Source organism: Homo sapiens, chromosome 5, assembly GCF_000001405.40.
Source record: "Homo sapiens chromosome 5, GRCh38.p14 Primary Assembly".
Taxonomy (NCBI): Eukaryota; Metazoa; Chordata; class Mammalia; order Primates; family Hominidae; genus Homo; species Homo sapiens.
Genome location: NC_000005.10, coordinates 172,998,939 through 173,026,685, shown reverse-complemented (window position 1 = coordinate 173,026,685; position 27,747 = coordinate 172,998,939). Strand labels below are relative to the sequence as shown.

General features: G+C 43.9%; 1 protein-coding gene and 1 non-coding gene across 2 annotated transcripts in view, besides 4 other annotated features; both read right to left on the bottom strand.

Moving 5' to 3' along the window:
* Window positions 1-27,747, bottom strand: part of ATP6V0E1 (ATPase H+ transporting V0 subunit e1) — a 51,675-nt gene that overhangs the window by 8,760 nt on the left and 15,168 nt on the right. Inside the window, exon 3 of the mRNA NM_003945.4 lies at window positions 6,319-6,448. Within this exon, the coding sequence (NP_003936.1) occupies window positions 6,355-6,448 (94 nt within the window). The 3' untranslated portion in view covers window positions 6,319-6,354. The remainder of the gene's footprint in view (window positions 1-6,318; window positions 6,449-27,747) is intronic.
* Window positions 5,757-5,960, bottom strand: SNORA74B (small nucleolar RNA, H/ACA box 74B). The gene has a single exon (NR_002988.1). It is a non-coding gene; the product is annotated as a small nucleolar RNA, H/ACA box 74B (small nucleolar RNA).
* Window positions 6,166-6,460: a silencer, noted in NCBI's record as "tiled region #4768; HepG2 Repressive non-DNase unmatched - State 15:Elon, and K562 Repressive DNase matched - State 5:Enh". NCBI's record gives its function as "represses a minimal TATA promoter and a strong SV40 promoter by Sharpr-MPRA in HepG2 and K562 cells {active_cell/tissue: HepG2 | K562}" and the evidence as "EXISTENCE:reporter gene assay evidence [ECO:0000049][PMID:27701403]".
* Window positions 8,692-9,235: an enhancer, noted in NCBI's record as "H3K4me1 hESC enhancer chr5:172444454-172444997 (GRCh37/hg19 assembly coordinates)". NCBI's record gives its function as "activates a minimal SCP1, AML or CMV promoter by ChIP-STARR-seq in primed H9 embryonic stem cells {active_cell/tissue: H9 hESC(primed)}" and the evidence as "EXISTENCE:reporter gene assay evidence [ECO:0000049][PMID:30033119]".
* Window positions 16,366-16,660: a silencer, noted in NCBI's record as "tiled region #12761; K562 Repressive DNase matched - State 8:EnhW". NCBI's record gives its function as "represses a minimal TATA promoter and a strong SV40 promoter by Sharpr-MPRA in K562 cells {active_cell/tissue: K562}" and the evidence as "EXISTENCE:reporter gene assay evidence [ECO:0000049][PMID:27701403]".
* Window positions 16,436-16,515: an enhancer, noted in NCBI's record as "active region_23650". NCBI's record gives its function as "activates an Ori minimal core promoter by ATAC-STARR-seq in GM12878 lymphoblastoid cells {active_cell/tissue: GM12878}" and the evidence as "EXISTENCE:reporter gene assay evidence [ECO:0000049][PMID:35858748]".

Here is a 27,747-nt window from a genome sequence, read left to right as displayed (position 1 = left end):
AAAGGATTATCAATGGCTATAAAGAGATGAGAAACATCTCTATACACCAGTATGCAGCAATCTCTAGCATATATTGTTCAGTGAATAAAACAAGGTACAGAATAGTATATGTAGCTGATATCTGTTCTGTAACAGCAGTGTGTATGTGTGTATATACATATGAATGAATATATGTATTTGCTTAATCTTTACAAAATATGAAACAGTGAAAGGATAGATTTCTCTGAATATATCTTGTTCATAATTTGACTTTGGAGATGTTTTATATATTCAAAAAACAGCAGCAAATAAAACAGAAAAAAATACAATAAATTGAACACAAACAACTTAGTCTAATTGTGTATCAAACTGGTGACGAAACTGCCAGGGGAAATAATAACAATAATTACAGGCCGGACATAGTGGCTCACACCTGTAATCCCATCACTTTGGGAGGCCAAAGTGGGTGGATCACTTGAGCCCAGGAGTTTGAGACCATCCTGGGCAACAAAGCGAAACACTGTCTCCATACAAAATTTAAAAATTTGCAAGGCATGGTGGCACATGCCTGCAGTCCTAGCTACTCAGGATGCTGAGGTGGGAGAATTGCTTGAGCCAGGAAGCGGAGGTTGCAGTGAGCTAACATCACACCACTGCACTCTAGCCTGACCAACAGTGAGACCCTGTCTCGAAAAAAAAAAAAATATTATTATTTGAGATGAGGTCTTGATATATTGCCGAGGCATGTCTCAAACTCTGGGCTCAAGAGATCCTTCTGCCTCACCGCACCAAACAGCTGGGATTATAGGCACATACCACTGTACCAGCTGTTATTCTAAGTGACCTCAGAAAACAGCACTTGATGAGCTCATATCTATTAGTTATACTGGTGTTATCTTGAAAGTATTTTGCCGGGCATGGAGGCCCACACCTGTAATCCCAGCACTTTAGGAGGCCAAGGCAGTTGGATCGCTTGAGCTCAGGAGTTTGAGACCAGCCTGGGCAACATGGTGAAACCCTGAGTCTCTACCAAAAATACAAAAAATTAGCCAGGCGTGGTGTCACGTGTCTACAGTCCCAGATAATCAGAAGGCTGAGGTAGGAGGATCACTTGAGCCCAGGAGGCAGAGGTTGTGGTGATGCACTCCAGCCTGGGTGACAGAGACCATGTCTCCAAAAAAAAAAAAAAAAAAAAAAAAAAAGTATTTTATATACATTGTAGAATAATAAAAGTTACTGTTATTAAGGAACAGTAATTTTCAGGCCAGGCATGGTGGCTCATACCTGTAATCCGAGCACTTTGGTAGGCCGAGACAGGCAGATCACTTGAGGTCAGGAGTTCGAGACCAGCCTGGCCAACATGGCGAAACCCTATCTCTACTAAAAACACAAAAATTAGCTGGGTGTGGTGGTGTGTGCCTATAGTCCCAGCTACTCAGGAGGTTTAGGCAGAATTACCTGAACCTGGGAGGTGGAGGTTTCAGTGAGCCAAGATACTGCCACTGCACTCCAGCCTTGGCAACAGAGCAGGACTCTGTCTTTAAAAAAAAAAAAAAAAAAAAAGAATGCCAGGCACAGTGGCTCACACCTGTAATCCTAGCACTTTGGGAGGCTGAGGTGGGTGGATCACGAGGTCAAGAGTTCGAGACCAGCCTGACCAACATGGTGAAACCCCGTCTCTACTAAAAACACAAAAATTAGCCAGGCGTGGTGGCGCACACCTGTAATCCCAGCTACTTGGGAGGCTGAGGCAGGAGAATCGCTTGAACCCAGGAGGCAGAGGTTGCAGTGAGCCCAGATCACGCCACCGCACTCCAGCCTGGCGTCAGAGCGAGATTCTGTCTCAAAAAAAAAAAAAAAGAAAAAAGAAAAAAATAAAATAAAATAAAAACTCTGTAATGTTATATTTGAAGAGAAAATACTAATGTAAACTTAAGATTATTTTTCATCTGAAAAATACATTACTTCCTGGTTCTTTCCATTGAAAAGGCTTAGAAGCAATTATGCTTAATTACCCCAGGCAGCAACAAACGCACCTAGCACTCCGATCGTGATTCTTAAATGCCATTTCCACTGAACAGAACCAGAGTCAAATGGGCCTGAGAACTGTTAGTAAACCAGACATCCTTTTAGTGGGGAATTCAGAAACCAATTCAAAGAACAGCTAAATCTAAGTCTCGGACAGAAAATATAGAAGAGGGGCCTGGACATTTTGATGTTGCCAGAAAGTAAGGAAACTACCAAAAACTAACACCAAAAGTACATAGAAGCCATCCTAAACAGGTTCTCACAGACAAAAAACAACAACAACAAAAAACAACAACAACAAAACACAACCATATAAAGGGTAAAAAATATAATTATTTAAAATTTAAAAAAAATCTCATTGAATACCCTGGAACTTGGCCACCAACATCTTACTATGAAAATTAAAAGAATTAAACCTGTATTCTGCTTTTCCCGTATTTTTGTATGATCTGTATTTCTTTCTTTTTTTTTTTTTTTTTTTGAGACGGAGTCTTGCTCTGTCGCCCAGGCTGGAATGCAGTGGCGCAATCTCCGCTCACTGCAAGCTCCACCTCCTGGGTTCATGCCATTCTCCTACCTCAGCTTCCCAAGTCGCTGGGACTACAGGCGCCCACCACCATGCCTGGCTAATTTTTTTTGTATTGTTAGCAGAGAAGGGGTTTCACCGTGTTAGCCATGATGGTCTCGATCTCCTGACCTCATGACCCACTCGCCTTGCCTCCCAAAGTGCTGGGATTAGAGGGGTGAGCCACCGTGCCCGGCCCCATGATCTATATTTCAAGTCTATTAGATCATCCTGTTGATGAGGAAAAGTTTTTTGTTTGTTTGTTTTTTGAGACAGAGTCTTGCTTTGTCACCCAGGCTGGAGTGCAGTGGTGCGATCTTGGCTCACTACAACTTCCACCTCCCAGGCTCAAGTTCTCCTCCCACCTCAACCTCCTGAATAGCTGGAACTACAGGTGTGCACCACCTTGCCTGGCTAATTTTTGTATTTTTTGTAGAGACAAGGTTTCACAATATTGCCCAAGCTGGTCTCGAACTCCTGGGCTCAAGTGATCTGCCTGCCTCAGCATCCCAAAGTAGTGGGATTACAGGCATGAGCCACTGTGCCTGGCAGGAAAGTTATCTTTATAGAAGCATTTCAGCTCATCAAATGCAGAGGTAATAATACAATTGAAAAATCAGACGGGAATGGTGGCTTACGCCTATAATCCCAGTATTTTGGGAGGCCTAGGCGGGTGGATCACCTGAGGTCAGGAGTTTGAGACCAGCCTGGCCAACATGGTGAAAACCCATCTCTACTAAAAGTAACCAAAAATTGGCTGGGTGTGGTAGCACACACCTGTAGTCCCAGCTACTTGGGAGCCTGAGGCAGAAGAATCACTTGAATTCAGGAGGCAGAGGTTGCAGTGAGTTGAGATCGTGCCACTGCACTCTAGACTGGGTGATAGAGCAAGACTCTGTCTCAAAATGAATAAATAAATAAATAAATAAAAATAGAACTGGAAAAATCATCATTTGCGGCCAGGCACGGTGGCTGATGGCCATAATCACAACACTCTGGAAGGCCAAAGTGGGAGGATCACTTGAGCCCAGGAGTTTGAGACCAACTTAGGCAAGATGGTGAGACCTCATTTCCACAAAACAAAACAAAAGTCACACGTGGTGCTGCGTGCCTGCAGCTGTTAGGGAGGCTAAGACAGGTCGATCTCGGGAGCCCAGGAATTCAAGGCAGCAGTGAGCTATGATCACACCACTGCACTCCAGCCTGGGCCATAGAAAGAGACCCTCTCTCTCTATAAAAAATAAATAAAATTTTAAAAATTAGCCAAAACATGGACCACATAGTAAGACCTTGTCTCTATTCAAAATTTAAAAATTAGCCAGGCACGGTGGTGTGTGCCTGTAGTCCCAGCTACTCAGGAGGCTGAGGCAGGAGGATCACTTGAGCCAGGAGTGTGAGGCTGCAGTAAGCCATGATGGTGCCACTGCATTCCAGCTGGGTGACAGAGACTCTCTTTCAAAAACAAAAAAGTTAGGGTATGGTGGCTCATGACTGTAATTCCAGCTACTTGGGAGGCTGGGGCAGGAGGATTGCTTAATCCCAGGAGGTCAAGACTGCAGTTAGCCGTGATTGTGCAACTGTACTCCAGCCTAGGTGACAAGAATGAGATTCTGTCTCAATTAAAAACAAAAACAAAAACAAAAAACAGCAGCAGCAGCAAATCACCATTTGCCATTTCAACTAAAATGATTAATTCAGGCTATGATCATCAATGGATAAAATCACTTGATAAAAAGGACTTTACAAATGAAGGAACCAGGCTGTCATTACCTGAACCCAGTGATCACATCAGCCTTACTAAACATAGGAGAGCCAGAGCCAGACATCCTGTTTCTCCAGATGGGAGGCAATACACAGTTTACAGTAACACCTAAAGAGCCAAAAAACTTGAACCTAAATCTAGTCAAGGCATTTAAAGCTAACTTCCATTTAACAAAATAATGAAAACAACGAACAGATTAAATAAGAGGTTTCCTGACTCTCGGCCAGTGAATAAATCTTTCCACTATACCACTACTAACCTCTCTGACCCTCAGGACAAATAGAAGCTGCAACCTTAAGACTGATTTTCCTTTTTCTGAGACGGAGTCTTGCTCTGTCGCCCAGGCTGGAGTGCAGTGGCGCGATCTCGCCTCACTGCAAGCTCTGCCTCCTGGGTTCAAGCCATTCTCCTGCCTCAGCCTCCCGAGTAGCTGGGACTACATGCGCCCACCACTGTGCCCAGCTAATTTTTTGTATTTTTAGTAGAGATGGGTTTCACCGTGGTCTCGATCTCGTGACCTCGTGATCCACCTGCCTCAGCCTCCCAAAGTGCTGGGATTACAGGCGTGAGCCACCGCGCACGACCAAAGACTGATTTTCAAAAGGCACTGATATGGCTTGGATTATATGTCCCCTCCAAATCTCATGTTGAAATGTGATCCCCAATGATGGAGGTGGGGCCTGGTGGGAGGTGTTTGGGTCATGGGGGTGGATTCCTCATGAATGGCTTGGTACCCTCCTGATATGGTTTGGCTGTGTCCCCACCCAAATCTCATCTTGAATTGTAGCTTCCATAATTTCCACGTGTTGTGGGAGGGACCTGGTGGGAGATAACTGAATCATGGGGGCAGTTCCCCCATACTGTTCTCATGGTAGTGAATAAGTCTCACGAGATCTGATGGTTTTATAAGGGGAGACCCCTTTTGCTTGGTTCTGATTCTCTCTTGCTGCTACCATGTAAGAACTGCCTTTCATCCTCCGCCATTATTGTGAGGCCTCCCCAGCCACGAGGAACTGTGAGTCCATTAAACCTCTCTTTCTTTATAAATTACCCAGTCTTGGGTATGTCTTTATCAGCAGCGTGAAAATGGGCTAATATACCTCCCCATAGTAACGAGTGAAGTAGTTGTTAGTGCACACAAGAGCTGCTTGTTTAAAGGAGCCTGGCACCTCCTTCTCTCTCTCTTGCTCCCTCTCTGGCCATATGACACGGCTGCCCCCCTTTTGCTTTCTGCCATAAGTAAAAACCTCCTGAGGCCTCACCAGAAGCCAAACAGATACGGGTGTCATGTTTATACAGCCTGCAGAACTGCGAGCCAAATATAAATTACCCAGTCTCATGTATTCCTTTATAGCAACACAAAACAAACGGACGCAGGCACCTTTCTCCATCCAAAGCATTCAAAAACCTTAATTTTGTTTTCTCTGTCTGCTCCCAGACTAGAACTAAGCAGCCAAAGTGAATGCTTAGCACACTCTCGGGGAAGCACAGCTCTGTCTTGCACCAGTGCCAGACGCCACCAGAACAGTGGCGCAGGCAACCGGATGAAGACAAGACATTCCTCTCCCAGCAGTGTAACACCATCACAGGAACGGTTCTGTCCGGATGGCTGACTACTGCTGGAAAGAAACCTGCTCAATTTTAAATCTGCCAGCCACTTTTTAAAGTTGCTGGATCTCACAATGCCAAGTATAAACAGTTACTTTTTTGATCTGCGTCTGAAAGAGTGCATGCAAGCTTAATTTTGTAAATTAAACTGTATTTATTTAAAAAGGCAGGGTGATAGCAGAATCTAAAAAGAATCTTAATGAGATTTAGGTAAGCTAAGGCTTAAGTTCCAATTTTATTTCTGCTCTTCAGATCGTGTTTGCATTCAGCAGCTTGCCCTTGCCACGTGTTAAAATGGCCATAAAATGTGAGAAAAAGTCAAGGCAAACTCTGACTGCCTGACCATACTGATAAGAAAGGTCACAAGCATAGTCACCTCAAAGACTGAGCACTGTAGAGCATGTCTTCTTCCTCAAGGCCAATGATACTTCAGATACCAGATGGTTTCATTTTTCAATTGCGGTCCAAAGAGAGGGTTGAGTTGGGCCAGAATTGCAATCAGCCAACTAAAAGAAGGATGGGAGAGAAACAACGAAGCGGTGAAATCATGTTGGAACATGACCATTTTCAATTAGCATGGAAAAAGTACACTAGCAAAACTTAAATCTACTGCATTCACACCAAACTTTCCATATACATTGTGTTAACAGCAGCATGTCTGATAACAAAATGTTTCCCAGGACGTAGCCTGCCTTCATCTTGAGACATATCACAAAGCAGTGAGGCTTTGTCACAGTAAGTCTCTGACTTTTCTCTCATTACCTGATTATCTTTCCAAGTATCCAAGATTTCCTGAATTCATGATATCTTCGCTTCAAAGCGTTTTCACTTAATCTCAATTTATCATCATCACAACTTCCAACCTCAGGGAAAATGTGTCTTATTTTATCCATTCTCCAAATGTTAAGACCCACAACCTACATGACACACCCATTTTTACTGGTACAGGCAAGGTTTGATTGTAGCTTATCATCTTCCTATTAGACTATAACATGTAAGGTCCCCTTTTCTAATCCCCATCACCACCAAAATATGTAACACATCCTACTGTGGAACTTAACAGAATGGGCATTTACCTTCTCCCCAGTTTACTTCAGAATCTAAATAATGAGGTATTCCTCTGTATTACAGACTAAACTATAAAGGAAGTAAAATGGTGTCACATCTTACTTCAGGGTTTTTTTTTTTTTGAGATGGAGTCTCGCTCTTTCGCCCAGTCCAGACTGCAGTGGTGCAATCTCGGCTTGCTGCAAGCTCCGCCTCCCGAGTTCACCCATTCTCCTGCCTCAGCCTCCCGAGTAGCTGGGACTACAGGCGCCCGCCACCACGCCCAGCTCATTTTTTGTATTTTTAGTAGAGATGGGTTTTCACCGTGTTAGCCAGGATGGTCTCCATCTCCTGACCTCGTGATGTGCCCGCCTCGGCCTCCCAAAGTGCTGGGATTACAGACGTGAGCCACCTCGCCCAGCCGACTTCAGGGTTAAAAGTGAAAAACAGGTTGGGTGCGGTGGCTCATGCCTATAATCCCGCACTTTGGGAGGATAAGGATCACTCGAAGCCAGGAGTTGATGACCAGTCTGGGCAACACAGTGAGAACCCGTCTCTATAAAAAAATTTTAAAAATTCACTGTGTTTGCTGACTTGCACTTGTAGCCACAGCTACCCAGGAGGCTGAGGTGGGAGCATCCCTTGAGCCTGGGAGTTCAAGGCTGCAGTGCTATAGTTACATCACTGCACTCCAGCCTGGGCAACAGAGTGAGACCCTGTCTCTAAAAAAAGAAAAGAAAAATAGCATAGATTTATCTTTAAAATTTTCTTATATAGCTCACAAAGTTCTGTATAAAGGGTCTTATATATGATACGGTAATTCATATGCCAAATAAAGTTTTGAGAATCACTTAGCTCAGACAAAAGCAAACAACAAAAAAATATGCAAATGTCTGAGTATTCAAACCATTCTTCACTTACTAAAGAAATATTTAATGAGCACCTACTAAGTTCTAGGCCTCAGAAATACAATGGCGAAAAATGAAATGTCACTATCCTCACAGAGCTTACATAATAGAATGTCAGGTGATAACTGTTATGAAGGAAGTCAAGCAAGGAGAAGGAATAGAGAGTGGCTTGACGGGGCATTATTTCGACAGGGTGGTCAGGGAAGGAGGAAGACAGACAGGGGAATGAAGCAGAATACACACTGCCTTTAGTTCCTACTCAAAATCCAGCTGACCATTGAACATGGGTTTGAACCATGCAGGTCGACTTGGATGCCTGGGCCTGCTCATATGCCTGCCTGTCCTGCCTCCACCTCCCTTTCCACCTCCTCCACCTCTTCTGCCTCTACCACACCTGAGACAGCAGGACCAAGCCCTCTTCTTCCTCCTCCTCAGCCTACTCAGTGTGAAGACAACAAGGATGAAGACCTTTATGCTCATCCACTTCCACTTAATATAATAGTAAACATATTTTCTCTTCCTTATGATTTTCTTAACATTTTCTTTTCTCTACCTTCCTTTATTATAGGAACACGGGATATAATACGTATACAAATTATGTGTTAATTGACTGTTTATGTTATTGGTAAAGCTCCTGATCAACAGTAGGCTATTAGTAATTAAATCTGGGGGGATTCAAAAGTTATAAATGGATTTTCAACTGTGCAGGGGATCGGAACCTCTAACTTCCACGTTATTCAAAGGTCAACTGTGTATGAATTTGAATTTCTTTCATTGGTGGGCAGTGGTGTGGGGAGGAGGGCAGGGTTAAGGTAAACAAGCCCAACCAACCTCCAACTACCAATCTGGGAGAGTGAAATTTGGTAACATACTGCTATCCTTTCTGCATGGTACATTGGGATCTAGGGAATCCCTTTCTTTTCTTTTCTTTTTTTTTTTTTTTTTTTTGAGAAGGAGTCTCGTTCTGTTGTCCAGGCTGGAGTGCAGTGGCACGATCTCAGCTCACCACAACCTCCACTTCCTGGGTTCAAGCAATTCTCCTGCTTCAGCCTCCTGAGTAGCTGGAATTACAGGCACGCGCCACCATCCCCAGCTAATTTTTGTATTTTTAGTAGAGAAGAGGTTTCACTATGTTGGCCAGGCTGGTGTCGAACTCCTGACCTTGTGATCCGCCCACCTTGGCCTCCCAAAGTGCTGGGATTACAGGCGTGAGCCACTGCAGCCGGCCAGGAATCGCTTTTTTTTTTTTTTTTTTAGACGAAGTCTCACTCTCGTCACCCAGGCTGGAGTGCGATGGCACGATCTCGGCTCACTGCAACCTCTGCCTCCCGGGTTCAAGCGATTCTCCCGCCTCAGCCTCCCGAGTAGTTGGGATTACAGGCGCCTGCCACCACACTCGGCTAATTTTTGTATTTTTAGTAAAGATGGGGTTTCACCATGTTGGCAAGGCTGGTCTCGCACTCCTGATCTCACGTGATCCGCCCACCTCGGCCTCCCAAAGTGCTGGGATTACAGGGGTGAGCCACCACGCCCAGCAGGGAATCACTTTCTAAGGGTAAGTGGATATATCACTACAGCAGTCTCCTTTCACGCTTTCAGGACTTTAAATTTCCCTATAAGCGGGGAACTAGCCAAGCCCCAACTAGGCCATTATCCGGGTGGATCTTTTTTCTTTCATTTACTGTCATTTTTAGAGCTTTTCCAATCAGAGGATCAAAAGGCTGATTCTGATCACCAATGGAGAGATTGCTGGAGAATTAGCCAGCACCATATCAGAAGCTTGTGCCCACAGAAACAAAAGGTGATTTTGTGACAGGAAACATGACACCTGAGGAAAGCAGGCCAAAACAGATAGTTCAAGCTGACTCACTTAATAAACAAAAAGTTCATTCAGATGAGATTTTCTGATCCATCCTTAGAAGTAGGGTATTAAACACAAACACAATACTAAGACTTGTAGTTGAGGTTCAACATCATCCATCTGACATTATAAAAAAAGGAAGAGAACAGCACAGGCGGACACACTGAAAAGCTCTGTGACTGCAGTTGACGCTAATGGTGCAGAGCTAAGAGTCATGGAAAATTCCAAACTAACCAAGGACTTCCCCAATCCCGGCAGGCAATACAAGCTGCCTGAAAAAACACTTTCGTAAGAGACTGAGACAACTGGCCAATGCCTAGAAATACTAAAAAAATCCATTAGAATTTAAACTAGCCCCTATCTCCTTTTGTTACCAAGAATATAGCACAGAATGAAAACACCACTTCCCAGCACTTTGTAGGATGTTGTAGCGGAGTGGTTCTCCTCCCCAGCTGCAAATTATAATCACTCAGGGAACTTTTAAAATATACTGATGCTATTTCTGAGAGTGGAAAAAACATTGACTCCTTTTCCTCTGCTTTCACACCACAATAATCAACACAGAAGAGACTTCTACAGCCAAATGTGTGGGGATTTCTCCCCACCAACAAGCACACAATCAATTCTGCAGCGGACTCCAGCTGGGTGTCCTCCAATTCAATCCTGACATTATCTGCCTGGAGGTAGCATCAGCATCAGATCTCACAGGGTGAGGGCTTGGTTCCACAAGACCGCCCCTCACTTCTGATGCCAATCGCAAGCCCCAGGTTGTTCTACCTGTGCTTCTGACCAACTGGCTATAAATCGGGGAGGCTCTAACCTTTCTTAGGTTCAATTAATCTACTAGAGCAGCTCGCGGAGCTCAGGGAAACACGTTTTCTGGTTTACTATAAAAGATACTACAATCTGGGCATGGTGGCTCACGCCTGTAATCTCGACACTGGGAGGCCAAGGCGGGTGGATCACTTGAGCCCAGGAGTTCGAGATCAGCCTGGCCAACATGGTGAAACCCGTCTCTACTAAAAATACAAAAATCAGCTGGGCATGGTGGCACACATCTGTAGTCCCAGCTACTTGGGAGGGTGAGGCAGGAGAATCACTTGAACCTGGGAGGCAGAGGTTGCAGTGAGCCAAGGTCGCACCACTGCACTTTAGCCTGGATGACAGAGTGAGACTGTCTCAAACAAACTAACAAAAGATACTACACAAGATACTGATGAAGGGATGGACAGGGTGAGCTATGGAAAGGGGCACAAAGTTCTCATGCTCTTCCTGGGAACACCAGCCTCCAGGAATAGCTTCCAGCTTTCCTGAACCTCTCAGAACCCAATCCTTTTGGGTTTTTATGGAAGCTTCATTGTGTAGGCATGATTGATTACATCACGGGCCATTGGTGATCAGTTTAAGGTTCAGCCCCTCCCCCTTCCCCTATGGTTGGGCTGTGGGGCTGAAAGTCCCAACCCTCTAATCCTTCCTTGGTTCGTGATTAGATCCCATCCTGGAGCTACCAAGGGGCTGCCAATCATCAGTCAACTCATTAGCATACAAAGACACATGTCACTTTGGAGATTCTAAGGATTTTAGGAGTTGTATACCAGGAAATGGGAACAAAGACTAAATTTGTATTTCACAATATCACAATTTCACATATAACCTTTCATTTAATTCTTGTACTAGGAAACAGGCAGAGAGAGTCTAAGTGATTGGCCTATGGTCACAATGCTAATTAGGTAGTAGTAGATCCTAGACCAGGAATCAGATCAGATTACTGTTCCCACTTCAAAAAGTGACCTTCTGGAATATTTTAACTGAGAACATTTCAGAAGGCATTAATTTAGCTAAATCTAAATTGAGAATTCAGAAAATGAGAATCCATCCACTGAGCACTGATTAAGTTCAACACAAGCCTTTGGTGCCTTCACTAAAGAATATCCAGAAGAAAGAATGAAGACCCCTTTCTTGGTCAGGTCAGTATTTAGAAACTGTTTTTTCTTCGTATTTACCATTTCTCTGTGTTGGTATCATTTCAAGTCCTCGCTTCCCGTTAGTATGAAATACACAAAGTACTGTTGCTGAGTATAGTCACCCTATTTTGCAATCAAACATAGAAGAAACTTATTTCCTCTGTTTAATGTTTGTGCCCATTTTACGGGTACCCCACATGTTTGTACCCATTGTGCTACTCTTTATTCCCACAACTTTCCTTCCTTCCCAGTCTCTCATATCTATCATTCTACTCTTCATGTCTTTGACATCAAATTTTTTAGCTCCCACATATAAGTGAGAACATGTGATATTTGTCTTTCTGCACTTGGCTTATTTCACTTAAGATAATGGCCTCTAGTTCCTCCCATGATGCTGCAAATGACATGATTTCATTCTTTTTTTATGGCTGAATACTATTCCGTAGTGTACATATAACACATTTTCTGCATGCGTTCATCTGTTGACAGACACTTAGATTGATTCTCTGTCTCTGCTACTGTGAACAGCACTGCGATCAACATGCGAGAGTGCAGGTATACCTTTTATATATACTGATTTCTCTACCACTGGATAAATACCCAGTAGCGGGAATGCTGGATCATATGGCAGTTCTATTTTTAGTTTTTTGAAAAATCTCCATACCATTTTCTATACTGGTTTCTATACTCCATACCATTTTCTATACTAATTTACATTCTCACTAACAGTGTATAAAAGTTTCCTTTTCTCTGCATCCTTGCTGGCATCTGTTATTTTTTGGCTTTTTTTTTTTTTTTTTTTTAAGATGGAGTCTCCCTTTACGGCCCAGGCTGGAGTGCAGTGGCACGATCTTGGCTCACTGCAACCTCTACCTCCCGGGTTGAAGTGATTCTCCTGCCTCAGCCTCAGGAGTAGCTGGGATTACAACCTACCACCACACCCAGCTAATTTTTTAATTCTTAGTGGAGATGGGGTTCCACCATGTTGAACATGGTTGGCCAGGCTGGTCTCAAACTCCTAATCTCAGATGATCCACCTGCCTTGGCTTCCCAAAGTGCTGGGATTATAGGCATGAGCCACCATGCATGGCCATATTTTCGCTTTTTAGTAATAGCCATTCTAACTGGAGTGAGATGATATCTCATTGTAGTTTTGAATTGCATTTCCCTAGTGATTAATAATATTGAGCACTGCTGGCCATTTGTAATGTCTTCTTTTGAGAAATATCTAGTCATGTCCTTTGTCCATTTCTCAATAGGATTATTTGTTTAACTGTTAAGTTGTTTGAGGTCCTTATATATTCTGGATCTTAGTCCCCTGTCAGTTGGGTAGTTTGCAAATATTTTCTCCCATTCAACAAGTTGTCTCTTTTTTTTTTTTTTTTTTTTGAGATGGAGTCTGGCTCTGTCGCCCAGGCTGGAGTGCAGTGGCGCAATCTCAGCTCACTGCAAGCTCCGCCTGCCGGGTTCACGCCATTCTCCTGCCTCAGCCTCCGGAGTAGCTGGGACTACAGGCGCCCACCACTACGCCTGGTTAATTTTTTGTATTTTTAGTAGAGACGGGGTTTCACCATGTTAGCCAGGATGGTCTCGATCTCCTGACCTCGTGATTCACCCGCCTCGGCCTCCCAAAGTGCTGGGATTACAGGCGTGAGCCACCGCGCCCGGCCAAGTTGTCTCTTTATTCTATTGTTTCTTTTGCTGTGCAGAGCTTTTTAGTTTAATATAGTCCCATTTGTCTATTTTAGTTTTTGTTGACTGTGCCTTTTTTTCTTTTTTTTAACACAAGTGTCTTGCTCTGTTGCCCAGGCTGGACTGGAGTGGCGCAATCACAGCTCATTGCAGCCTTGATCTCCCAGGCTCCTGGACTTAAGCAATCCTCCTACCTCAGCCGCCTGAGTAGCTTGGACCACAAGCACGTGCCACCAGGCTTGGCTAATTTTTTAAATTTTTTGTAGAGACAGGGTCTCATTATGCTGCCTAAGCTGGTCTCGAATTCCTGGGCTCAACTGATCCTCCCACCTCAACCTCCCAAAGTGCTGGGATTACAGGTGTGAGCCACTACACCCAGCCTGTTGCCTGTGCTTTTGAGGTCTTAGTCATAAAACTTTTGCCTAGACCAATGCTCTGAAGAGTTGTCCCTATGTTTGCTTCTAGCTGTTTTATAATTTCAGGTCTTATGTTTAAATCTTTTCTTTTTTTTTTTTTTGAGATGGAGTTTCACTCATTGCCCAGCCTGGAGTGGAATGGCACGCGATCTCAGCTCATGGCAACCTTCATCTCCCAGGTTCAAGCGATTCTCCTGCCTCAGTCTCTTGAGTAGCTGGGATTACAGGCATGCGCCACCATGCCCAGCTAATTTTTTGTATTTTTAGTAGAGATGGGGTTTCTGCGTATTGGTCAGGCTGGTCTCAAAATCCCGACCTCAGGTGATCTGCCCGCCTTGGCCTCCCAAAGTGCTGGGATTAAAGGCGTGAGCCACCATGCCCGGCCTCGTTTAAATCTTTAACCCATCCTGAGTTGACTTTTGTATATGGTGACAGAAAGGGTTCAATTTCACTCTTCTGTATATGGTTATCAAAGTACACATGCATACACATATGCATGTACACACACACGCACACATCTCACTTAAGAAAAAAAAAACAAGAAACCACAGTTCAAGAAAACTCCAGAGGCCAAGGCGGGCGGATCACCTGAGGTCAGGAGTCCAAGACCAGCCTGGCCAATATGGGGAAACACTATCTCTACTAAAAATATAAAAATCAGCCAGGCACAGTAGCACATGGATGTAGTAGCAGCTACTCGGGAGGCTGAGGCAGGAGAATCACTTGAACCTGGGAGGCAGAGGTTGCAGTGAGCTGAGATCGGGCCACTGCACTCCAGCCTGGGTGACACAGCAAGACTCAAAAAAAAAAAAAAAAATTTACCTAGGAAACAGTCTAGTCTGGTTTATTTGAAATTTCAGAGGAATTTACCCCCCTAACCCGCTGAGCTTTGTGCCTGCCCCTCTGACTACCTCCTGACTTAAAATTTCCCTTTAAAGCTGACAAACACGCAGAGAACTGGAAGGGAAAAAAAATCCACTCTGAATTGATGGAAGTGGGTGGAGGAAGAGATCATATTCCAATGAATCTATTACTTCATGTGTACAAGAAAAGGAACTAAATGTACCTTTCATGTTTGCCCGAACTGTACCGCATGTCTTCATAACCTGAGGGCCAGCCTTAATAACCAATCTGAGATTATTCAAACAATTGAGGCAGCTATGGTGCAATAATGTCTTCAGAGAACTGCAGAGCCGGAATGGATCTGAGATCAAGTCTAAGTTCTGCATTTTAAAGATGAGGAAATTAAGTCCTAGTGAACTTACTAATACCCCACAGCAAATTAGTGAAGGGGGAAGCTGGAAGCGGGGAATCCAGGACTCCTGAGTCCCATTATACTAGGCTGTTTCTATAGGCTATTAAGGATGAAACAGGCCAGGTGCAGTGGCTCATGTCTGTAATTCCAACACTTTGGGAGGCTGAGGCAGGTGGATTGCTTGAGCCTATGAGTTCAAGACCAGCCTGAGCAACATGGCGAGACCCCGTCTCTATAAAAAAAAATTTTTTTTCAATTAGCCAGGCTTGATGGCACATGCCTATAGTCCCAGCTACTCAGGAAGCTGAGGTGGGAGGATCACTGGCCGGAGGTCAAGGCTGCCGTGAGCTATGATCATGCCACTGCACTCTAGCCTGGGCAACAGAGCAAGACCCTGTTTCAAAAAAAAAAAAAAAAAAAAAAAAGATAAATCAGGCAGCCTAGGGATTCATTTATTCCACAATCATTTAGCAGTGCCATGTTCCATGTCAACCTCTGAGGATGCGAAAAGGAGATGGCTGAGGGGCCAACCCAAAGGGACTCATGAGCTGTGAGAAATAAGCCAAGGAGAGTAGTAGAATATGTTTTTGTAGAGATATGCATGGGTGCCTTCATACTATAAACCCTCCCTGGCCACTTCTTAGGAGCTCAGCTCTTGGTTACTAGAACTCTCCCAGCATAAACTATGCCCTCACCACTATACTCAGCTCTCTCAAGCCCTGCTTTGTTCTTCTGTTCCACATTCAGATATAAGAACAGGGAACAAAGGCACAGGTTACTTCCCGGTGACACGCAGATGGAGCAGTCTCAGCTTCCCTACTGGAATGGGGAAGTCTGGCCAGGACCTCTCTTCTGATCCACTGTCCCTCCAGCCAGGGCCATGACAGCAGTGACCTCTGTCGGTGAGCTCCTTAAGAGACAGCAGAAATGCAGGAAAGTGATTTGCCCTAGCGCCACTAAAACGACCTCTCATCTCAACTGAATGATAAAAATACTTTCAAGAGGAGCAACATTATTAGATGCTCCTAGAAAACATGGGATTCGGTATTAGACAGAGTCGGATTTTAATTCCAGCAACACTAAATATCGGTGAACTGAATCCAGGCAAATGTCCTTACAACCCCAAGCCCACTGTCTCCTGTTGTAAAATGGTGATAATAATCCTTGCCTTATAGTATTACAATTTAAAGAGATAATATAAGTAAAGTGCTCTATGCAGTGGCTGACAAATAGATGTTCAATAAACACTGGTTATTTCTTCTCTTTCTCTGTAAGACAGCTAAAAATGTATTCAAGCCACAGAATGAAATACAACCTATTTACTTCACAAAGGAGTTTCTCATGTAGCACTGAGTCATTCTCATCTCCACCTCCTCTCCCGCGACCACCCACTCTATGGCAGGCAGATTTCAATTCTCCCGAGGTTCCCACCACTCAGTATACACACTCTGTATAAAACTCAGTGAATCTGACAGAATAGTCACTCCATGGTTAGATTATATTATCTGATACAGCTGGCTTTAACAAAGTGGCTATCCAGGACAGGCACGGTGGCTCGCGCCTGTAATTCCAGCACTTTGGGAGGCCAAGGCAGGCAGATCACGAGGTCAGGAGTTTGAGACCAGCGTGACCAACATGGTGAAACCCCGTCTCTACTAAAAATACAAAAATTGGCCAGGCGTGGTGGCACGTGCCTGTAATCCCAGCTACTCAGGAGGCTGAGGCAGGAGAATCGCCTGAACCCGGGAGGCAGAGGTTGCAGTGAGCTCAGATTGTGCCACTGCACTCCAGCCTGGGCAACAGAGCAAGACTCCATCTAAAAAAAAAAAAAAAAAGAGGCCAGGCGCAGTGGCTCACGCCTGTAATCCCAGCACTTTGGGAGGCCAAGGTGGGTGGATCACCAGAGGTCAGGAGTTGGGAGACCAGCTTGGCCAACATGGAAAAACTCTGTCTCTACTAAAAATAAAAATTAGCCGGGCGTGGTGGTGCACGCCTGTAATCCCAGCTACTCCGGAGGCTGAGGCACGAGAATCACTTGAACATGGGAGGCAGAGGTTGCAGTGAGCCAAGATTGCACCACTGCACTCCAGCCACCTGGATGATAGAACGAGACTCTGTCTCAAAAAAAAAAAAAAAAAAAAAAAGGGAAGTGGCTATCCTGAGTGAATGTGACCTGTTCAGGGGAATTTTTGTTTTTATCTTTGAGATGAGAATCTTGCTATGTTGCCCAGGGTGGTCTTGAACTCCTGGCCTTTAGCAATCCTCCCATCTCAGTCTCCTGAGTAGCTGAGATTGCAGGCATGAGGTGCCACCACTGGGCATGGCTTCAGGCGAGTTCTTTTATTTTATTTATTTATTTTTTTAATTTGTATTTTTTGAGACAGGCTCGCTCTGTTGCCCAGGCTGGAGCGCAGTGGTGCAATCTTGGCTCACCATAACCTCTGCTTTCCTGGTTCAAGCGATCCTTGTGCCTCAGCCTCCCGAGTAGCTGGGATTACAGGTACATGCCACCATGCCTGGCTGATTTTTCTATTTTTATTAGAGACGAGGTTTCACCATGTTGCCCAGGCTGGTCTCGAACTCCTGGCCTCAAGTGATCTGCCAGCCTTCGCCTCCCAAAGTGCTAGGATTACACGCATGAGTCACCCACCCAGCCCTCAGTTGAGTTTTTTTTTTTTTTTTTTTTTTTTGAGACAGAGTCTTGCTCTGTCACCCAGGCTGGAGTGCAGTGGCCCAATCTCTGCTCACTGCAAGCTCTGCCTCCCGGGTTCATGCCATTCTCCTGCCTCAGCCTCCCAAGTAGCTGGGACTACAGGCGCCCGCCACCACGCCCAGCTAATTTTTTTTGTATTTTTAGTAGAGATGGGGTTTCACCGCATTAGCCAGGATGGTCTCGATCTCCTGACCTCGTGATCCGCCCACCTTGGCCTCCCAAAGTGCTGGGATTACAGGTGTGAGCCACCGCGCCCAGCCCAGTTGAGTTCTTAAAAGGAAAAGGACTCGGCTGGGCACGGTGGCTCACGCCTGTAATCCCAGCACTTTGGGAAGCCAAGGTGGGCAGATCATGAGGTCAAGAGATCAAGACCATGCTGGCAAACATAGTGAAACCCCATCTCTATTAAAACAACAAAAATTAGCTGGGCAGTGTGGCACGCACCTGTAGTCCCAGCTACTAGAGAGGCTGAGGCAGAAGACTTGCTTGAACCCAGGAGGCGGAGCGTTGCAGTGAGCCAAGATTGAGCCACTGCACTCCAGCCTGGTGACAGAGCAAGACTCTGTCTCAAAAAAAAAAAAAAAAGAAAAGAAAAGAAAAAAAAAGGAACAGGACTCTCCCTTACAAAGACATTTGGAGTGTGTGTTTCAGTCACGAATTTATTGCCTCTCAGCTCTGAACATTAGGCAAATGAAGTGCAATTCAATGTGTGCTCTGTGATAAACAAGTGAATTACTTTATTTCTCCTGTAAAGTGAGCACGCTGTTAAGCTTTCTCAGTAGAGGAAGCTGGAGGGACATTTCAGGCGTAGGCCGGAGGTCGCGGAGTGGGTGTGAGAACCTCTGGTGAAGCCTACTATGGCTCGAGGCCAGAACGTGGTACCTCTTTGATCTTGTAGCCTTGGCCTGGCAATAACTTCAGAACCCTCTCCACATGTTAAGCAAAGCCCCTGCCCGGCATACATGCCTTGAAGGCCTCCTGCTCGTATGGGGACAGGGACTCCCACTACATCCATGCCCCCGATGACCTCGCCCCCTGCCTGTACTCCAGAAGAGGCCAATTGCTTGCCCAGAAACTCCAGGCAAACCCTGGTCTGGCCAAACCAACAAACTCCTTTGCTATCTGGTGGGCTCAACCATACTTTGTCTAGTGAGGTCTGAATCCCTTCCAAGTCTGTTCTTTGGTTACTCTCCCTCAGTCCTAGGGAACCAAATATAGTTTCTTTGTATCTTTTAGTAACTCTTTTGCCATAATAATAATTCTGAAATCTCTCTCAACCTATTTTGGTTTACGTGGCTACCTAATCCGCAAAAGAAAAAAATAATTCTTTATCTTCCCCTGCTTAACCGACTGTGGTTTCTATCTCCTTATTGGACTCCAGACTGCTATAGGATGAGATGATTTGACACAAAGGAGATTCTCTTTTCCCGGCTGTGAAAATGGAGGGGCCATATGGCCAGGAATGAAGGTGGCCTCTAGGAGCTGACAGTGGTCCCAACTAATAGCCAGCAAGGAAACTGCCATCTCAGTTCTATAAGCACATAGAACTGAATTCTGACAGCCACGAGAGCTTGGAAGAGGAGGCCAAGCTTCAGATTAGAAGTCATAAACATGACCAGCTGCGGTGGCTCATGCTTGTAATCCCAGCATTTTGGGAGGCCGAGATGGGCAGAATGCTTGAGCTCAGGAGTTCAAGACCAGCCTGGGCAACATGGCGAGACCTCATCTCAATAAAAATAAAAAAAGTCATAAACATGTTTTCCATTAACTTAATGCCAACCTATGGCTATTTCACTACCAAAGGAATATACCCTATTTTTGCCAATTCTAAACTTGAAATACCTTTCCTTTTTTCTCTCCATACTTATTTTCTACACCAGACCTTCCAGCTCAAAGTCTAAAATTCCTCTTATCTGCCAAATTATAAAGGAAACAATTATAAAGTCAGACTAAGAAAAATAAACTTTTCCATATAGCAAGTAATATGCTGGGCCAGCTGCCTAGATTTCCCTTCCCTTCCCCTACAAACAAACATCTCAAATGTATCCATAAGAAATTCAAACAATTCTCAGGCCAAAAAAAACCCCCAAAACCCAAATGAAGGCAGGTACTCAGAGAGGAAGGTGACCATAGGTTGCTTTCTATAGCTTAAATGTATGTAACAAACAACACGGACTTGAGCTTCTGTTTACAGATCTCACAGGGCACAGCAAACAGTGGACAAGGCCCAAGGCCCATCCAGAGTAGAGTGTTTGTTTGTTTGTTTGTTTGTTTGAGATGGAGTCTCACTCTGTCACCCAGGCTGGAGTGCAGTGTCGCCATCTCGGCTCACTGCCTGCGACCTCCGCCTCCCGGGTTCACGCCATTCTCCTGCCTCAGCCTCCCGAGTCGCTGGGACTACAGGCGCCCACCACCACGCCTGGCTAATTTTTTGTATTTTTAGTAGAGACGGAGTTTCACCGTGTTAGCCAGGATGGTCTCGATCTCCTGACCTCATGATCCACCTGCCTCAGCCTCCCAAAGTGCTGGGATTACAGGCGTGAGCCATCGTGCCCGGCCCAGAGTAGAGTTTAATAAAACCTTCACCCCCTCCAAAAACTAGGATCCTAAAGGGTTATATCTTGAATTAAGGATAAATCAATCAGAATTCAAGAGGAAAGAAAGGGAGAAACAGGAAAATCCACAATCATAGCTGGTGATTTTTAGCATCCCTCTTTTCATAATTAAAAGTAGTAGATAAAAAACAAACAAAAAAAAACCACAATAAGGACATAGAAAATTTGAACCATCTTGACCTGATATAGAATACTACAACCAACAACTTCAGAATATAGATTCTTTTCAACTGCACACAAATGGTTGTCAAGATAGTCCACACGCATAAAATAAGTCCCAATCTCAAAAGACTGAAATCTTAGAGAGTATATCTTCTGACCACATGGAATTAAATGAGAAATCAATTAACAGTAAGAAGACATCTGGAACAGCACCAGATATTTAGAAATTAAACACCACAATTCTGAATAACCAATTGGTCTAAGAAATTACAAAAGAAATTAGAAAATATTTCAAATGGAGTAAAATGAAAATACACTTTATCAAAATTTGTGGGATATCACTGAAGCAGTGCTTAGGGGGAATTTTATTGTATTAAATGCTTACACTAGAAAAGACGAAATTAAATCCAAAGTAAGAAGGAAGAAATAATAACGTGCAGATGTCAATGAGAAGGACAAAAAGATACAGGAAAGTAACCAAGATAAAATTTTGATTATTTGAAAAGATTAATAAAATTGATAAATTCCTAACTGCTTCATTAAAAGAGCATCAAAAATTACATTAAAATACTTGATATATTAAAATAACAAGAGACATACTAGGTGCAGTGGCTCATGCCTGTAATGCTAGCACTTTGGGAGGCCAAGGCAGGCAGATCGTTTGAGCCCAGGAGATCGAGACCATCCTGGGCAACATGGCAAAATGCCATCTCTATTAAAAAACGAAAACCCCAAAAATCCAAGAGACATGTGAGATCTCTGCACCAAAAATTACAAAACATTTGTGAAAGAAACAAAAGAAAACCTAAATAAATGAAGAGATCCCATGAGGCTGGACATGGAGATACCAGTGAGATTAGAAAACTCAACATCATTAAGATGTCAGTTCTCTTCAAATTGATATATTCAACACAATCCCAATTAAAATCCCAACAGGTTTTTTTTTTTTTCGTAGAAACTGCCTAGTTGATTTTAAAATATATGTGGCTATTTTAGAATAACCAAAACAATCTTGAAGCACAAAGATGGAGGACTCACACTTTCTGATTTTAACATAACTCTGCAATACTCAAGACAGTATATTATCATAAGGCCAGACAAAGAGATCAATGAACAGAAGAGGCAATCCAGAGCCAGACTCATAAGATATAGTCACTAATTTTAGATGAAAATGCCAAAGCAATTTCACGGAGAAAGGATTTTCAAAAGCTGGTGCAGCAACAACTGGATGTCTATATTGGGAAAACAAAGCAAAACAAAACAGAAAAACAAAAACAAGGCATGACCTGTACCATTTTAGTGCCTACAACCTTCAGAAGCAGTCATGCCTAACTGCCAAAACCCTCTCCCCTGCCAAGCTATTGTGGAAAGCCTTCAGGTCCCAGTTCTCGCCTAATAACGGAATATAAAAACTAAGTTCAACAGGTCTCATATCTTTCCTTATCTCAATTTTTACCGGCATTTGAAACCTCCCAGGACCATCTATTATGACCCCATCCCCAGACTGCTCCGCACTCATCTCACTATTTGATGTAACAATGGTGCATCCCTTTCTTTTCTTCCAAATCTTCCCCTTTCTTCCAAATCCTTCCACTGTGTTCTCTGTAACTCTTGCTCAATTATCTGCTACTTGTTCACGTACCTCCTCTTCCAGCACTTTCCCTCTAGCTTAACTGAAACCCAGCTTCCCATCCCTTCTCACCAGGCTCTCTGAAGCAGAGAAGACTGCTTATGTTTACAGGCCAGATACCTCAGGCTTTGGCGACTGGGGTTAGTAACATCTTTGCTCCCCTTGTGCTGCCTCCTAACAATTTTCACCCAACCTTGTGAAAAGCTGACTCTAAAGAAGTGCAACTGCATGTCCTTAGGCAAATGAAGTGCAAGCTTGCTGATCACCAGCCTGATCCCTCCATGCTTTCCCAGGCACCACCCTTATTCACCAAAGGAGGCTCAAGGTTGCCCTTTTCTGACTCTTCCTCATCTACACAACATCAAAATGTTGGCATTCCTCAGGTTTGGTCGGATCTTTTCTTTACTTTTCTCTCCTACCCCTTCCCTTAGTGCTGGGTTTCTCAACCTCAGCACTATTGAAATTTTGGGCTGCATAATTCTTCACTAGGGGAAAGTGAGGCTGTCCTGTGCAGTACAGGATGTTCAGCAGCATCCCTGGCCTCTATCCCTGGATGCCAGCAGCAACCCCAGCAAAGAACCACTGCCTTAGGTAATTCTATGTGTTCTCATGGCCTCAAATCTCTCTGCTTTAGCTAAGTTCCTGTTTGACAACTCTTGGGCATCTTATGGCCATCTCAGTCCTAATTAGCATGTACCAGTTGAATCTCTCTTCAAATTCATCCTGTCCCAAGTCAGGATCATCTTAGTAAATGGCCCAACCTAGAACTGGGAGCCATCTCTGATTCTTCCTACATCTAATCCATCAGTACGACCAATAAATTCTACCTGCCAAATTTGCTCTCAAATCTGTGTGCCTCTCTTCACCTCAGACCAAACCATGGTGATCTCTCACTGGCATGCATGCAGTCACTTCCTGACGGGTGTTCCTGCTTCCATTCTCCCCGCCAAACAGTCTGTTCTCCACAGAGCAGCCAGAGTGATCATCCCATTCACACCACTCCTTCATTAAAAATCTTAAAGCATCTCCTATTCACTTAACATGAAACCCAAACTCCTTATTTAGTGTCAGCAGACACTGGATCTGGGCACTAGATGTGTAGCAATGAATTAACAAATCAGACAACCTCCATGTCCTCTTTAATGAGGAGAAGCAGATAGTAAACAAATCAAGAGCCAGAGAGGCCCAATCACTCCCCTCACAGCCCCTTCATTCACTTCCCAGTTTCCCCCATCCACTTGTTGCCACAAATACCTATTCAGTTATGACCTCGGAAGATTCCCCCTCACTTATCCTTCAGCCCCCTGCTGCTGTCAATCACACAAGGACCTGCACAGCATAAAATCCCACCTGGCCTGGGCCTTACATAAACTCTGAACCTACCACTCCCCACCTCACTATTAAGCCCAACATTACCCTGCCAGAACATTCCAAGCTACTTAAAAAAAAGAAAGAAAAAAGGGACAGGGCCTTGCTGTGTTGCCCAGGCTGGTCTCAAAACTCCTGAGCCCAAGCGATCCTTCTGCTTTAGCCTCCCAAGTAGCTGGGACTACAGGTGGGATACCCCTGTCCCCGGCTATCCCAAGCTCTTTACCCCTCAGTGCCTTTACATTTGCAGAAAGCCCTCCCTCCAATTTCCCTATGGCTGATTCCTCCTCAGACACAGGGTTTCACCATGTTGCCCAGGCTGGTCTCATACTCCTGGCCTCAAGCAATTCTCCTGCCTCAGCTTCCCAAAGTGCTGAGATTACAGGCATGAGCCACCAGACTTGGCTTCTATTTTGGATATAGTCTAGCTAATTAGTGAATAAGAAATTACAGAAACAGAATATCATAAATGATGGCCAATAATACAAAGAAAAATCAGACATTATGTACCCCTCTTGGAAGTACTCAACACCACTTATGAAGGAGACTGGTCAAAAAATTGAAGCTAAATCTGATCAGCCTCTAGATATGGCTACCAATTCATAGAAAATACAGAAGAACGTGTTACCACCATGAGTATGCAATTAACAAAGACCAGACTGCAACATTAAAGGGCAAACAACCCAGTTTTTCTATTAAAATTTCCAAGAAAAAAGAGAAAGATATGGAGAAGAAGCCTATAAAGAGAAATTTGAGAGACATTCACCAATTGCTACGTGTGGTCTTTATGTGGACCTTGATTCCAGCAAGCTGTAAAATAATGAGACAATTACGGAAATTTAAATATGATAGGATATTTGATGATATAAAGGAATTAAGTTTTTTGTGCATAATGGTATTGTGGTTGTACTTTTAAAATTTAGAGACACATATTGAAATGTTTACAGATGAACTGATATGTCTGGGATTTGTTTCAGAATAATCTGGGGTGGAGAGGAAAAGTGTGGGGATAAAACACGATTGGCCATGAGTTGATCATTTTTGAAGGTGGGTGGTAAGCAAATGAAGGTTCATTATCCTAACCTTTCTACTTTTATAGAGAGAAAATAGTATGTTTAAAAAGCTGAAAACCTTTGGGAGGCCAAGGCAGGTGGATCACCTGAGGGCAGGAGTTCGAGACTAGCCTGACCAACATGGAGAAACCTCATCCCTACTAAAAACACAAAATAAGCCAGGCGTGGTGGCACATGCCTGTAATCCCAGTTACTCGGGAGGCTGAGGCAAGAGAATCACTTGAAACTGGGTGGCAGAGGTTGCAGTGAGCTGAGATCCAGCCATTGCACTCTAGCCTGGACAACAAGAGTGAAACTCCGTCTCGGGGGAAAAGAAAAAAAAAAAAAGCTCAAAACCAGAAAGTTTAAAAAGGAAATACATGTTAAAGTAAATAGCAGCCCTGAAACCAATCAGCCAAAGTGCTGCGATTACAGGCGTGAGCCACCACGTGTGGTTACTTGGTTGGAAACCAAAGCGGTGCACCCAGGCCCCTGGGAAGTGATTATGTCCTGTGCTCAAACTAGCTCTAGAGCCAGGACCCAGAAAGGCCAGTGAGGGAGGTGAGGCTCAGCTCTGGATTTGCAAATTCCGAGACATGTGAGGTGGAGTTTCTGTGGGCTGTGCAGGTCCCTGTGTGATGGACAGCAACGGGGGCTAAAGAATGAGTAAAGGGGAATCTTCTGAGGTCATAACTGAGTAGGTATTTGTGGAAATGAGTGGATGGGGGAACCTGTTTGGGAAGTGAATGAAGGGCAATGAGGGGAGTGATCGGGCCTCTCTGGCTCTTGATTTGTTTTATCTGCTTCTCCTTATTAAAGAGGACAGGGGGTTGTCTACTTTGTTTATTCACTGCTACACTGTGCCATTACGCCCGGCTAATTCTGTATTTTTAGTAGTGTCCAGATCCAGTGCCTACTAATGCTAAATAAATATATGTTGAATGAATGAATTCTAATAAGGCTAAGTAAAATATTCACTATACCAGCCCTGTAAGGAAACTGTGCTTACAAATAACACAGTCCTTTGAATTAAAATAACTTATTTTAAAGATCACTGATTGGCCAGGGGCGGTGGCTCACACCTGTAATCCCAGCACTTTGGGAGGCCAAGGTGGGTGGATCACTTGAGGTCAGGAGTTCGAGACCAGCCTGGCCAACAAGGTGACACCCTGTCTTTACTAACAATACAAAAAATAGCCAGGCATGGTGGCGCACATCTGTAGTCCCACCTACTCAGGAGGCTGAGGTAGGAGAATCACTTGAACCTGGGAGGTGGAGGTTGCAGTGAGCTGAGATCTCGCCACTGCACTCCAGCCTGGTCGACAGAGTGAGACTCTATCTCAAAAAAAAAAAAAAAAATCACTGATAATATTACTTTGATTTTTATTGTGCTTTACTCTAAGTTTTCACACACAGCATCTTACTTAAAACTCACAAAACCACCCTACAACATAATCGTGCCAAGTATCCTTTTGCCTAAAAGAACCTAGGTCTCGTGATTCTTAGATAGTATTTATTTTCCTATATCATGATGCCAGTAAGATTTACAGTTAGTCAGGTGCTAAGACACAGCATGTTTTCCAAGAAACAACTGTGTCTTCACAATACATTACATTTCTAATTTCATGTGAGCTTGGTGACTCTGAGTAAACAACAATATAATTCAACATTAAAAATTAACCTAAGACCAGAAATATAGTATAGTAACTTAACAAGATTGTATGTTTAAGAGACAAAAGTGATCTTGTGCCTTAAAGAGGGAACCAGATATAACATTCAGATTTTCCTCTGCTGAACTATTAACAGAAACTGGATTCTACTGGCAGAGAACCTAATTTATACAGAGCTCAAACAAGTTGAGCCTCACGGAATCAAACTTTAAACTAGAACAAACTGGCACCAGAAAAAACTGCAACAAACAGAAGGCAATTTAAAAGTCCATGAATGCATTTCAAAACATGACTTTGAAAGCCAAAGTCTCTTTGGGTGTGCCTTACTTGAAAAGGGGCATTTTCAAGAAAATGTACCAGTGCCAAACAGTGAAATTTCCTTTGAATTTCAATTTTTTTAATAGAATCTCACTCTTTTGTGGAATAAGGTGTGTAAAATATTTGGGGTTTGAATTCCGTCCACATTTTTCACTCAGATATCATGCTAAATAGGATGTATGATCAGATTTCAAAGAAACAAAAGAAAAATGATTTCATAAAGTCAATACTATCCAGCTGATTTCCCCATAAAATGGCCTCCAGAAGCATTTAATGTTGGAACACTGTGTACCACCTTTATTAATACACCACTAACAGTGCTGATCCACTGTCAGTAGAGAAGTCACCAGAATTTGGGAACAAAGGAAAAAATGGACTAATGTCTAGACAGCAAGAGGCAAGGGCTCAAATCCAATTATTCATTTTATACTTGAAAGTGGAAATATGACTGGGCGTGGTGGCTCACGCCTGTAATCCTAGCACTTTGGAAGGCTGAGGTGAGAAGACTGCTTGAGCTCAGGAGTTCAAGACTAGCCTGGGCAACAAACATAGCAGGACCTCATCTACTAAAAATTTAAAAAATTAGCCAGGTGTGGTGGTGTATGTCTGTAGTCCCAGCTACTCAGGAGGCTGAGGCAGGAAGATTGCTTCAGCCCAGGAGTTTGAGGCTGCAGTGAACTATGGTAGTGCCAATGCACTCCAGCCTGGGTGACAGAGCAAGACTGTGTGTCCAGAAAGAAAAAAAAAAAAGTGGAAATACAAGACATGAGACTGACTGGAAACGTTTTTGTTTTCTTTTGTTTTAAATATCATGAAAATTAAACACATTTCAAAGACTATGGAGAACCAGGAAGTCACAAAATATTTTGGTGCTTTTTGGGTTTAAATCTCAAGTCATTCCTCTGTGAACTCATTCCCCCGACCCCCTTTTTTTTCCCTCCTGAGATGGAGACTTGTTGTCCAGGCTGGAGTGCAATGGCACAATCTCGGCTCACTGCAACCTCTGCCTCCCAGTTTCAAGTGATTCTCCTGCCTCAGCCTCCTTAGTAGCTGGGATTATAGGTGCCCGCCACCACATGGGGCTAATTTTGTATTATTAGTAGAGATGGGGTTTCACCGTGTTGGCCAGGAGTT